Source organism: Homo sapiens, chromosome 11 (genome assembly GCF_000001405.40).
Source record: "Homo sapiens chromosome 11, GRCh38.p14 Primary Assembly".
NCBI lineage: Eukaryota > Metazoa > Chordata > Mammalia > Primates > Hominidae > Homo > Homo sapiens.
This window is the reverse complement of record NC_000011.10, coordinates 69358409-69372811: the sequence shown is the minus strand read 5'-3', so window position 1 is coordinate 69372811 and position 14403 is coordinate 69358409. Positions and strand designations below refer to the sequence as shown.

Below are 14403 nucleotides of genomic sequence, written 5' to 3'. Positions count from 1 at the left end.
CAATTTCCTTCTTTATTTTGCTTGTTCTTTCTCCCTCCACCAGAATGTTGTCTCCACGAGGGTAGAAAATTCCAGTTTCATCATGGCTGTGTGCCCAGCACCTAAAACAGGGCCTGGTGCTCAGTGCTTGAGTGCATCTGACAAGTTATTATTTTTTGCTCAAGCGTCGGCAAACATTTCTGTAAGTGGCAGATGGTCAATGTTTTTGGTTTCGCGGTCCTGAAGTCTCTGCCAGAGCTCCCCGACTCTGGCATTGGAAAGCAAAGCAGCATAGACAACATGTACAAGAATGGGCATGGCCATGTTCCAATAAAACTTTATTTTAAAAAGCAGGTGGGGGCAAGATTTGGCAGGTGGGCTGTAGCATGCAGGCTCCTGGTTCATCTAATGAGTCAGCGACTGATCCCCACACTCCACAAACCCACAGACCCTCTCTCTGACAGCCCTCCCTGTCCTGGCCATGCCCTCCACCCCAGATCTGTACCATCCATAAACTTCCAAGGCCACCAGGACATTTGCAGCTCTTGGTTCTTTGGGCCCCTGGAGTCCCCAAGGAGGAGGCTGGGCAGGCACAATTCTCCCCATTCTGCAAACAGCAAAGATGAGGCTCAGCCAAGCCAGCATTCAGGGCCATGGCTGAGAGGCATGTGGCCCTCTCTCCTCCCGCTCTCTTCTTTACCTCACTTCCGGGGCAAACTGTACCACCTGACGCTGCCGTAGCCGTCTGCCCTTTCCTCCCGGATGGCCTTCCCAGCCGCCCTCTCCTCAGTTCCACCCAAGCCCTCAGATACGGTGTCTCGGGGCAGCCATCTTGGTGCACCCCGAGCCAGCCCTTCCTGCGTTCTGTGTCCTCCTGGAGGATTTGTCAGGTTCCCCAGAGCTTCTAGGAGAGACGCCAAGTCCTGAACCTCAAAAGAGATGAGAGAATCACAGACCAGCGGCCCTCAAGTCCTCTTGGCCCCCCACAGTGCTGAGCACACTCTGCCTGGTGCTGAGGCTGCTGCTGGGGCTGGGCACTGTAACTTGGATGCGAGTTACCTGCTGGTCCCAGCAGCAATTGCGCCTGCACTCTGCTAGTGCCTGCACTCTTCTAGTGCTGGGCCTTCACTCATCTCCCTATGTGCATTCCAAGCAGTACCCCTAGACACTGTTACCATCCCCATTACAGCTGAGGAAACTGAGGCACGGAGAGGTGAAGTAACATTCCCACAACCACACAACACAACAGGCATTCAGGCAGCATCTGTCTGTCTCCAGCGATTACCTTTTTGGTTCCCTCTGAAAGAAGACTTTCTAAAGGATGATTACTGCTGGGCTTTGAAGGATGAATAGAAGTTCACCAAGGAAAATGGTGCAAAGCGCAAAGGCAGGAACTGCTCTGGTCTGGGTGTGCAGACAGCCGCAGGAAACTGTGGAGGCATAGACACGGAAAATAATGTGAGAAACCTTCAAACACCAGTCCAGTCTCTACCCACAAAATGGAATAAGAACGGGACCAGTCATGGAGGTTGTTTAGGGTTCAGGCTGAACCCCACCACTGCTTCTTTTCCTGGAGGTTTGGGGGGCCAGAGGCTGATCTAACATTCCGAGGCCAACCTGGCAAACACTTGCATCCAGTTCTCTACTTTCTGCCCACAGCTTTGGCCGTCACCTGTTGTGCGGTGCGGACAGACACAGCCCGTGGGAGCACACCCCAGGGCCCCCCGGCTCCTCACTCACATGGAAGTGAGCACCCACAAACCACTGTGGTGGAGACCCACCGGTTACAAGCAAGGAAACCCACTCTCACTCCTCAAATAAAAGGGGAATACTATTACAAGGATGCAAAAGACGAGTTCTCAGGTATTGGGAATGAATTGATTTTTCCTAAAAAGATACGTTCATGCCTGACCCCTAGTACCGTAGATGTGGCCTCATTTAGAGACAGGGTATTTATAGAGGGAATGGAGTTGAAATGAAGTCATGAGTCTGGGTCCTAACCCAAGAAGCCTGGTGTCACACAAAGGGGAAATTCAGACACAGGGACAGACAAGCATGGAGGGAAGGTGGCCACATGAAAACCGGGGCAGGAGTGAGACCTCGACCAGCCAGGGAACCTCAAAGACCCACAGGAAACTGTCAGGAGCCAGGGAGAAGTGAGGAAGCATGCTTCCCCAGAGCGTCTGGGGATAGCATTGCCCTGCAAACACCTCGTCCCAGACTTTCAGCCTCTAGAACTGGGAGAATAAGTCTGTCTTCTCGAAGCCACCCAGTTTGGGGTACTTTGCTCCAGCAGCCCCAGGAAACTCTTGCAACAGCTCACTGTGGACAGGAGCTGAAAGCAGCTGGTGCTCAGTTCGAGGCTGCAGTGAGCTATGATCATGCCACTGTCCTCCGGCCTGGGTCACAGAGCTAGACCCTTTCTCATAAATAAATAAATAAATAAATAAATAAATAAATAGAAGGGATTTTTAAAAACTTACCAATTCAATTTCAGGGCATCTGGAAATGCCAGGGCTTCCCAGGTCTCCTTCATCCCTGCTTCTCTCTCCACATCACCACGGCCACCATTTCTCCAAGACTAGATTCTTCTGTTTCTCCTTGTCCCACACATGGCCCAGCATGGGCACCCCACCCCAATGTACTGCAGCCTTCCTGTGAAAGCACCTTTCCTCAATGGGCAATGCCTGCCAGGCCACTGGTCAGCCACAGGGGTTGGCTCAGCTCATGGGTCCTTCTCTTGCCCAGTCAGCTTTGGCCAGGGAGGAGACAGGCCATTGATGTCTACTTCCGCCTCACTTGACCTTCTCCTCTCTGCCTATTCTGTTCTGTCCACCTCTCTACTCTGCATGTCTGTCTCAAACCTCCCTCTGCCCCTCTGTTAATAAGGACACCATCATTGGATTTGGGGCCTACCCAGATAATCCAGGATGATCCCTTCCTCTCAAGCTCCTTAACTCAATTAGCAAGTCCTTTCCTTAAGGGAAATGTCAGAGGCACATCTTCATGTCTACAGTGATAATGAATTATTAGTATCACATACACACACAAACACTTAAATTGTGAAAAAAAATCATCCTATAGAAAAATGGGGGGAAACCTTAACAGAAGAGGAAATTTAGAGACAAAGCTTGGATGACAAATAACCATTGAGAAACTGTTCAACCTAACAGGGAAATGCAAATTCAAACAAGTCATGTCATTTCACATCCTGCTCCCCCAAGATTTACAGAAATTTGGAAGTCTGACATTAGCAAGTGCTGCAGGAACATAGAGAAATGGGAACTCAGACTTTGCCAGAGTAAATTGGCCAAGGGACTTTGGAAAGCAACTTTGCTTCCTAGTGAAGCCGACTCTGGCCCTTCCCTGTGAGCCTGCAATTCCGCTCCTAACCCCAGCCCTAAGCGCTCATAAGAAGATGTGCACAAGGAAGTCCACTGCAGCATTTTTAATGGCAAATTTGAAAACAGCCTAAATGTCCATCAATAGGAGAGTGGATGGATAAATTGTGCTGTTTTCACACAATAAAATACCGTGGAACAGTGAAGATGAGCACACACATCAGATATCACTAACATGACATTGAGACTAAGGAGGCATACAGCTACATACAACGTGGTGTCCTGAAGTCCCAGGATCCTGGAACACAAAAAGGACATGAGTGGAAACACTGGTGGAATTTGAGCCAAAGTGTGACTTAGTTGATGGGGATGCACCAATGTAAATGTCTTAGTTTTGATCAATGGACTGTGGTTATATAAGATGTTCAGACTAGGGGAAGCTGGTGAAGAGTGTCAGGGAACTTGGCATCTGTGCAACTCTTCTGTGAATTCAACATTATTTCAAGAGGAAAAGTAAAAACAAAAGCAAGTTACAGGCAAGTATATACAATATTAGACTGCTTGTATTCAAGTGACGCTTATGGAAAATTGTTTCATATATTGTTTAGGGAGATATAAGAAGTGAGCGCATAAAGAGAGCTGAGGGCCATGCTTCTCCCCACTGCGAGTGGGGTGGGGAAGGGTTGTGGGAGACTGGGGAGGGGGAAGAGGGATGCAGGAGGGATTTCCACTACCTTGATACTGTTTTACTTCTTCAGCTGAGTAGGGGTGTGCCTAGGTGTTTATTCTATGACTCATTACACTTTTGGTATGCCTGACATATGTCATGATAATTTTTTAGAATCCTGTAAACCTTATGTAGCCCCAACTGCTCAATGCACAGGCAAAATCAACTCAAGAAATCGGCGTCAGAGAGGGGCTGGGAACGAGCCTCCAAGTTCCAGTTTGGAATCTCTCTTCACCACATGAAATGCTTCCTGGGCGGGTTTTCTGGGTGCAGACAGGAGGTTATAAGTACTCTAACAAGTTCGAGGGGCCCACTCCAGAAGGGCAGGTTCCAGCCACCCTGACTTGCCCAGGGCAGGGACACAGCCTCACTCCAGGCACATGGCTCCTTGCCCCTCTCTCCCTGACTCGAGACCTTGCCCAGACCTAGCCCCATGCCCAGGGTCTCCTGGCCCCTGAGTTGACTTTTGCTTCTAAACAAGGTGAAAAGGCAGTTGATGTAGCAAGTGGGGGTGGCAGTGTTCCCTGAGGGGTTGAGTGGGTGGTCCGTGTATGTGGGTGTGTGGTCACCGGGGCCCTGGCACTCAGAGAAGATGCCTGCTGTGCCTGAAGAGGGAGTGTGAGGCACACTGAGGGGGCTTTGCAAACACTGATGGTTTCTTCTCTTATTAAAGTCAGGCATCTCATTAGGGCAAACCTGAGAAATGCAGAAAAAGCAAAAAATTTAAAAATAAAAGAGAAAAACAACCACATGCCCGCTTCCCCTGCCCCCCATAACCACCACTTATGCCCCGAGTTTTTCCTTTATTTTTCTGAAGTGCAATTACTAGGTCAAAGTGAATGAATAATTAAAGACTCAATGCAAAATACCAAAGATTTGACCTTTGGTATATATAGAGAGAGGGAAAGACAGAGAGAGGAATAGAACCTCCCTTCTCTAGTGAGGGGAAGGGGATCATTTTTATAGCCCAGTTTTACTTCTTGTAAAAGTCCCATGACACCAACATTCAACAGCATTCGAACTGAGTCACCTCACCCTGAAGCTCATCATTAATTTCAACATGAGATCATTTCTTCAGCCCTGCCAGTCTTCATCTACAAAGAGGCAAGTTCTGGTTTGCAAGTGACAGTTGGTAGACGTCCTTGGAAGTCAGCTTTCTCCCCGTGCCGGTTTGCCACACAGATGGGTTCACACAGCATTTTCTTGGTAGGAACTATCTGATGAGCAGCAGACACCTCTGTGGTGGATGGACTGTGGGCTCGAGGGTCCAGAGGGGGCACTCCCTGTATTTCGAGGGCTACGAAGCTTAGCTGGCCCCTATGTCTGGGCCTGGGGTTGTTTTCACAGATGATTCTGCAGGGGTGGTGTCCGCACGGTGGTGGGTTGCACTCAGTGGATCATCTCTGCACAGAAATCCCCAGCTTAGAGCTGCACTTCGTGGCACTGAGTGTGGAAAGTGAAGTTGTTGGCCTGGTGAGGATCATCAACAGGAAGCAGGTGTTGGCTGGACTGGGGAGAGCGTGTCCCAGGCCCCCCACCACCCTCCGCCCCGCTCTCCAAGCCCGGACTGCCTCATCCATAAGCCCGGACTGCCTCATCCGTAAGAAAGGACAAATAATACCAAACTCATAGACCTGTTGTGAGGTAAATACCTGGGCAAATTTTCACAGAGGCTTTAAATGCTTTAAACCAGGAATCTCCAAACTTCTTTTGCTGTCTTCCATTACTTAAAAAAAAAAAATTTTGAGCTTGCATCCCCAGTAAAATATATATAAATTTTCTTTTAATTTGTATACATGTACATCTACCATACCAATAAGTTATAAAACATTAGAAAACACATAACAATATTGAAATTAAAAAGAATGAAATTTAGGGCTGGACATGGTGGTACACACCTGTAGCCACGCCTACTAAGGAGGCTGAGGTGGGAGGATTGCTGGAACCCAGGAGTTCAAGGCTGCAGTGAGCTGTGATCACACCACTGTCCTCCGGCCTGCATCACAGAGCTAGACCTTGTCTCTTAAAAAAGAAATAAATAAATAAAAATAAAAGGGATTTTTAAAAATTTACTAATTCAATTAGTTTAAAGGTTAAAGGGCTAACACAGTTTTTAATTTCTTGAGTCTGTTTCGTAAGAAATGTACCAATTCATTTACATTTTCAGATTTATTAAGCATATAGTTTAGTAGACACTATCTTTTAAATATTCTGATTTGTTCCCTTTTTCTCTTTGCTCTTTTTTTGATTGTCATTTATTCATTTTGTAAAATGTGCTGTATATTCATCAGGGTTATACGGAGAAACAGATTGATTTTAAGAGGAATCAGCTCAAAAAACTATTACAGAGTATCACAGTGTTGCCCAGGGTGGTTTCGAACTCCTGGACTCAACAATCCTCCTGCCTTGGCCTCCCAAAGTGCTGGGATTACAGGCGTCAGCCACTGCACCTGGCCTATTCCCTTTGGCATTTTTCTCTTTTCTGTTTTTGTTTCTCCATCTCTAACTTAATCAATCTTTGCAAAGCTTTGTTGTCGAAGCACTAGTTATTAGCTTTGTTGATGCTGTTTTTTTCCTTTTTTCTATCTTATTAATGTCCTCTCTGATTGTTATTATTTCCTTCTTTTTACTTTTTTTTAGTTTCCCCTATTTTTTATGTTTTTTTTTTTTTTTCCGGGGGGGAGTTGGTCACTTAGCTTTGTAAAAGTTTAGCTTTTCTTCTTTTCTAATATAAGCATTTTAGACTTTAATTTTTCTTTAAATGTCACTTTCACTGCATCCCACAAATGTCAATACATAGCATTTTACCATCTTTTAGTTAAAAACATCGTATCATTTCCACAATTTCTTCTTTTCTCTTTGAATTACAGTTGACCCTTGAACAACAGGGGTTTGAACTGCATGCATCCACTTATAGGCAGGTTTTCTCCCACCTCTGCCACCCCTGAGACAGCAAGCTAACTCCTCCTCGTCCTCCTCCTCTTCCACCGCCTCCTCCTCCTCCCCACTCCTCACCCTCTACCCCCTCCTCCTCCTCAACCTACTCCTCCTCCTCCCCGCTTCTCCTCCTCCACCCCTCCTCCTCAGCCCACTCAACATGAAGATTGTGAGGATGAAGACCTTAATGATGATCCACTTCCACTTAATGAATAGTGAATATATTTTCTCTTCCTTATGCATTTAAGAACATTTTCTTTTCTCTAGCATATTTTATTATAATATTATAAGACTATAGTATACAATACATATAACATACAAAATATGTGTGAATTGATTGTTATCCGCAAGGTTTCCAGTCGACAGGAAGTTATTAGTAGTTACATTTTTAAGGAATCAAAAGTATACGGGGATTTTAGACTACACAGGGGATTGGCACCCCAAACCCCACATTGTTCAAGCGTCAAATTACAAGTGTGTTCTAAAATTTTTGAATATGTAGGGGTTTTTGAGTTATTTTATTATGGATTTCTAACTTAATTTCATTGTAGTCAGAAAATGTGTTCTATATTATATCACTTATTAGAATTTGTTGAACTTCTGTGGCCTGACACGTTGCCAATTTTTATAAATATCCCATATGTTCTTGAATACACAGAATGTTATTCTTTAATTGTCAGGGGCCGGATATGCTTATGTCCATTAGCTCAGGATAGTTTATTTTATTTAACAAACACTTAGAGATTGCTAACAATGGACCAGACTTTGTTCCAAGTGGTTTATAAATACTGAGTCATTTAATCTTCGTAGCACTCCTTTGAGGTCCATACAGTTATTACCACCATTTTAGAGATAAGCACGCTAAGGCTTTACAAAATTTACCAACTCAATTTCTTTAGAGGCTAAAGGGCTAATATAGTTTTCAATTTCTCGAGTCCATTTTTTTAAGAAAGGTACCTCATTTCATTTACATTTTCAGATTTATTAAGCATATAGTTTACTTAAGTAGGCACTATCTTTTAAATATTCTGATTTCTTCCCTTTTTCTTTTTGTCTCTTTTTTTCTTGATTGTTGTTTATTCATTTTGCAAATGTACTATATATTTGTCAGGGTTATCCAGGGAAACAGATTGATTTTGAGGAATTGGCACAGAGAGGTTAAATCATTTTCCTGAGCTCAAACACACAGCCAGTAAGTGAGAGAGAACTGGGATTTGAACCACGTAGTTTAGCCAGAGTTTGTCTTCTTGAATACCGTTCTATGCTGTGATATTCTAAACTGCTCTATTCTTTTTTTGGCCGGGTGGTACTACCAAATATCGAAATAGACCATTAAAATATCACTCTATAATTATGAATTTATCTATTTCTCTTTGTAATCATGCCATTAAAAAAAGATACTTCTAAGGCAATACTGACAAATGCAATAAATTCTAGCGAATTGTTATATCTCCTTGGGAAATTGTACCTATCATCCTCTACACTTTTTTATAATCTTAAAAGCCATTTAGTTTGACATTAATATCGCTGTATCAGATTCTTCTTGGTTAGTTTCTGCTTAATACATACTTTTCATCCATTAACGTTTCTATGTCTTTACATCATAGGTGTGTCTCTTGTAAACAGCATATAGCTACATTTTGTTTGTTTCTAGTCAGTTCATACAAACTCTTTTGAATTGTGTTTTTAGTTAATTTACATTTACTGTAATTAATAATATTATAGGAGTAATATCTACTGGTGTCATTTTGGACTTGCCATTTTTGATGTATTTCTTATGATTATTATTCTCTTGTTTGTATTAGATTAACTGAGTTTCATTCATTCCTGTTTTGCCCCCTACTCACCTGGAAGTTATATAATAGACTTCTAATCTTTTGGGGCTTTAATTTACAATGTTTAACACACATGTTTGACTTAAGTAAGTATAAATTAACTACCTCCACCCAATTGGGTGAAGAATATAAGAACTTGCTGAAGAATATAAGAACTTATAGTCTTAAGATTGTCTTCCTTTTATCTTGTTAATTTTATTCAGTATTATTTTCACATTTTTCAAAGTATGATTTTATTATAATAATAGTATTTTATACTGTCAATGTTTGTTAGGATTTACTCACATGTTCATCAAATTCTTTCCAATTTCTTTATATATGCATTTCTTTCAGTGTAGATCTCGTAAGTGGTAAATCCTATTTTATCTTATTTTATTGTGGTAAAAAACATTTACCATGAGTTCTATCCCCTTGACAGATTTTTAAATGCCCAACTCAGTCTTATCTTTAGACATAATGCTGTATAGAGATCTCTAGAACTTCTTCATCTTGCGTAACTAAAATTGATACTGGGTGATTAGCACCCATCTTACCAGCCACCCCTAGCACTCACCATTCTAGTCTTTGCTTCTGCGAGTTTGACTACTTTAGCTACCTCATGTACATAACATACTATATATTATGGTATATATAGTATATTTACAAAAAAGACTACATATTATGGTATATATAGTATATTTACATAATATATTACATGTAAAATATATGGTGTATTTTATATAAATATACTATATAATAATATATTGTCTATACTATATATTATAATATATAGTATATACACACTATATATTATATTATATATAGTATATATAATGTATATAGTATATATATAATGTATATAGTATATACACACTATATATTATAATATATAGTATAGATAGTATATAATTATATAATTATATAATTTATTATATATTATATTGTACATTGTATATTGTACATATAAATTTATATTAATACATATATAATAGATTATATATTATATATTTATATTGTATATTGCATTTAGAATATATTATGTATTTATTATATATTATATATAATATAGTACATATCATTATAATATAGTATATATTATATCATATATTGTACATATATAATACATTATATATAATAAATGTCGTATATATACACCACATTTTTAAAAACCCACTCATCTGTCAAAGTAAGTGGTAAATTCTATTAATATTTTGGGTCCAAACATGTCTTTATGTCACCCTTGCTCTTGAAGGATAGTGTATCAGCTATATAAGCACCATTTGATCATCATTTTTTCTCAACCTTTGTATCATTTCTGTTGTTTTCTGGTTTCTATTTTTACTGTCAGCCTAATTGGGCTCCTTGGCATGTCATCTGCTTTACTTTTCTATCAGATGAATTTATGAGTCCTCAACACTGGGGCCACCATGCTTTGCTCCTGTGCCCCTCCTTCTTTCTTTCTCCAGAAACTTGCCACTAGGTGGAAGCCAGAGTGGTTGTCATACCCACTTTGTGTGTTTCCCTCTCCCGGGGGCCCCAGTCCTGCTCTACCTGTTGGCATTGTGTTTAAAAAAATCGTTATTTCGTCCATTTTATCTCATTTTCTAGTTGTTTCAATGGGTGAATTAACCCAACCCTTTTCATGACCATGGCCCAAACAAAGAAGTCTCAAGACATGGAGCTTTAATTTAACTTTTAATTTTTAGAAATTCTATTTGGTTCATTTTGAAACATATCTATTTCATCTTCATGATGACTTGCCATTTCCGTGTTTTCAACTCCTCCTTGTAGTTCCTTGAACATTAAAAATGTATTATTCTATCGTCTTCACCTGCAAACATCAGTGCCTTTGAGGTTTTAAACCCATGCATGCTGATTCTACTCCTGGTGATCAGTTCCTTTGTGTTTGTAATTTATTATTGTGAGCTCATCTTCCGATGGACTTTATTTATAGAAATCCCAGATGGTCCTGAAGTCTCTCTGGTGAGGTTTTGGGTTTGATTCTTCTAGATGCCCCATGGGTCACTGGTTCAGGCTCACTCTCTATGGTAATTTCTTGACTTGAGAGTTACCAGGCCATAAGGTAAATAGAGGCATTTCAATCTGAATGCAGTCTGAAGACAGACCAATGATGATGGGTTCCTAGTAGAGAGGTTTTTCTTCCCCTGTCAACTTCATTTCATTTCCCTGAGCCAGTGGGCAGACTTACCTCCTTTACCCGTGTCCTGAGAGGGAGGCACTTTGTGAACACTGGCTCCCCATGGGGTGCTCAGCTCTGACTCTGCCCCACATGGGACAGGAGCCTCATCCCTGGCCCCTTCCTGGCTGTTGAGCACGGCTGCAGCCTCCGGGGAACCACAACCAGCGATCCCTCCCAGGTCTTCTGCGGCCTCACCCCACAAACTTCCCACCCTTCGCTTTAATTCTGTCTTTATTTCCACACCGCAGAGATTTCCCTTGTTTTCTCGTGCCCCTTAGCTATGCACTGAAAAGGATGTTAGTTAAAATGTATACAACATTTCTGAACGTTGCATAGAGGAAAGGCATAGAGCTAATCTGTACTTCCATGTCGCTGAAGGCAGACGTCTTTCCTGTAATATTCATTATGCCCTCATTAAGTAGGTGCTATTCTTGCCCCCATATGTATAGACGAGGAAACTGAGGGACAGAGGGGTTAAGTGACTAGGCCAGAAGTCCACAGCTACCAGAGGCAAAGGCCAAGATTTGAATCCAGGCTGTCTGGTGTCAAAGTCCAGGTTTTTTCCACTGGGCTTGCTGCTTCCAGGGGCCCCAGTGCTGCCAGTGAGGGCTGCCAAATAAAGTAAAGGATGCGGCTGGGTGGGGCTGTGTCACCCATGGGAGATAAAGGAGAAAGGACATGTTACATCTTCTAGGAAGCTTCCTTAAACAGGCGAGTAGCATGCACTTTCTTCGATCCTTTGTCCATACAGTATTTAGGTTATACTAAAACTTTTGTTGTTTATCAGAAATTCAGATTTAACTGGGCATCCTGTATTTTTATTTGGAGTGAAATCTGGCACCCTGCTGCCAGCTGCGGTTAGGAGCCGTCAGGCCTGCCCCAGCCAGGCTGATGCACATTTCCGGGCATTTGCAGCACAGCATCTCAAGGCTTGGTGGCTGTACTCCTTGTCCATCTGATTGAGGGGCCAGGGTGATCACCCACAGGATGCCTGCCCCAGCCCCTCATTCAGGGTGGCAGCCACTGCCCCTGTTTAGCTCAAACAACAGCCCCAGGCACCTGCCCCTGCTTAGCTCAAACAACAGCCCCAGGCACTATGGGAGGCTCCTGCTCCTTGCTGTCATCTAGAGGGGTTGGGACCTCATGATTGGTGTTGTCCAAGGCAGGGGCTTCCCCAAGGATCCCACTGGGAGGATTGGGGGCACACTTCCCCGACCTCTACCATGGGGAAGGGAGGAAAAAGTCCTAAATTTGGAGTAAATATGGGAGCAAACCCACAATGCCAAGAGGGACCCAGCAGGGGCAGCTGAGCCTCAGGTCTGGGGACATTCTCAGCTCCATCCTGAGCCCCCACAGCATGGTGAGGAGGATTGCAAACTGGGCCAACCTTTCTGAAGGGCAATTTCTCAATTCATGTCCAAATGTCAAAAGTGTATCCTCTTTGACTCAGCATTTCTACTTCTGGGAACTTACGGGAAGGAATGTTCCAACCCGGTGCAAAGATGATACATCCAGGGGTGTCAGGGGCTGTAATACCAGAAAACTGGCAATGGTCTGCATGTCTGTTGATACTGGTGAAATCATCAAACCTCTGCCTGATGGAATTGCAAGCAGCCTTTAAAAATCTGTGAATCTTTATTTGTGGGCGTGGGAAGCTACCTGTGATCCCCTTTACAGTGAAAAAGACACATGGCCCACCTGTAGTAAAGACCATCTATCTGGACTCTCTTGCAGCTAGGTGTGGCCATGTTACACATGGGAAAAGAAGATAAAGAAAAGGACATATTGTAGCTTCCAAAAGTCTTCCTTAAAAGGCAAGTGACATGCACTTTGTTCATCCCTTCTTTTTTCTTGCTGCCTGGGACTTGGACGTGATGGCTGGAGCTCTGGCTGCTGTTTTGGACCCAAAGGCAAGAACCATACCTCCAGGTTAACGGCTCAGAGAATAGTCAGGAGGTGACTGTCTCCAAAGGCTTTGCAGAGCAGGACCAACCACCTCCTATCCCATTTCTAGACTCTCACTTGAGAGAGAAAGCAATTTCTGTGTTGTTTAGTCCACTGCTATTTGGGGAGGTGTCTATTATTCACACTAGAACCTAACCCTGACTAATATAAGTAGTTTCTTTGGCAGGTGAGATTTGTAGGGATTTAAATGTTCTTTTAGATTTTTTTGTTTCTTTTGCATGTATGTCTTGAACATTTATCTGTCATTTATATTGTTTAAAAAAACTTGATTTCAAAGCAAATAAGGAAAAAATAAAGAAATCTGACAAACACCCAGCTCTTACAGTGAGCCAGCCACTGTTCTGAGGACTTTACATGAACTCTCTTGAGTCTTCACAGCAGTCCTGTAGGGTGCGTTAGTATCCCCATTTTACAGAGGGAGAAACTGAGGCACAGGGCAGTTGAGTCCCTTGTCTGTGGTGCCTCAGCCAGATGATGAGAGCATGCAGGCAGCTCCATGGGAGCATGCAGGCAATCCATGACCTCGATCATGATGCCACCCTGCCACCCTGGAGACCTCCAGCCTCAGAGGCTACCCAGGCCTAGGCTCCTACCTTCTTCTCTCCCACCATTTGAGGCTCTTCCCCAGAGCTGCTTTGGAAAGTACCTTAAGTTCTGGGCTGCCTTAGCCAGGGGCATAGGCCATGGAGTTGGCCAAATTCATTCCTCTCTTCATTCATTCTACAAACATTTCTGAGTGCCCACCCTACATCTGCCACTGTGCTGGGCACAGGGATGAAGTGGTGGGCAGGAAGGCATGGGCCTCACCCTCAGTCAGATGTTAGAAGACAGCCCTGTGTGGCATTGCTGCTCCTATAGAAGAGGCCCCTGGGGGACATGGGGGTGGCCTTAGCCAGGGAAGTCAGAGGCAGCTTCCCCGGAAGGGACACGTGATCTGGGATCCGAGGCAGGGGTGGGAGTTACCTGTGTGACGGGGGACGGGGAAGATGCTAGCTGGAGGGGATGGCATGTGCTAAGGCCCTGTGGCAGGAGGGGTTAGCCCACACACCCATACACACCCCCTCATTCCATGCCCACCACAGCCCACCCTCTGCACCCTCCTCCAAGAAGGCAGACAAGTCACCCGTCCTTCCCCAAGGCTGGAGGACAAAGACCTGTCCAGGTGCATCTTGCCAGGGAGCCTGGAGCTGTGCTCTAGCCTGGACCTGCCTGCAAAGGGGGAGGGGGCCCCAGAAGAGCAACCCACCCATTCCCCCCACCACGGAGCCCTTCCAACACCCCCAGGGCCTCTCAGGCTGGCACTGGGTGGTCAGCCTCACAACTCACTGCTCAGTCCCTGAACACTGTGAGAAGTAGGCATAAGAACCCCATTTTCTTCAAGGAAAGAACTGGGTCCTTGAGGGAATAGGGGCTGGCTCACGCATGGGGTTACAGGAAAGG

General features: G+C 43.8%; 1 long non-coding RNA gene across 1 annotated transcript in view, besides 1 other annotated feature; it reads right to left on the bottom strand.

The window, feature by feature from the left end:
- Window positions 1–300: 300 nt before the first annotated feature.
- LOC105369370 (uncharacterized) overlaps window positions 301–14403 on the bottom strand; it is a 35372-nt gene continuing 21269 nt past the window's right edge. The window contains exons 3-5 of the long non-coding RNA XR_950269.4: window positions 5946–6069; window positions 5700–5773; window positions 301–5517 (exon numbers count right to left, since the gene is read on the bottom strand). This is a non-coding gene — a long non-coding RNA (uncharacterized LOC105369370). The remainder of the gene's footprint in view (window positions 5518–5699; window positions 5774–5945; window positions 6070–14403) is intronic.
- Window positions 12705–12905: a silencer, noted in NCBI's record as "peak1324 fragment used in MPRA reporter construct". NCBI's record gives its function as "represses an SCP1 promoter by STARR-seq MPRAs in K562 erythroleukemia cells {active_cell/tissue: K562}" and the evidence as "EXISTENCE:reporter gene assay evidence [ECO:0000049][PMID:32103011]".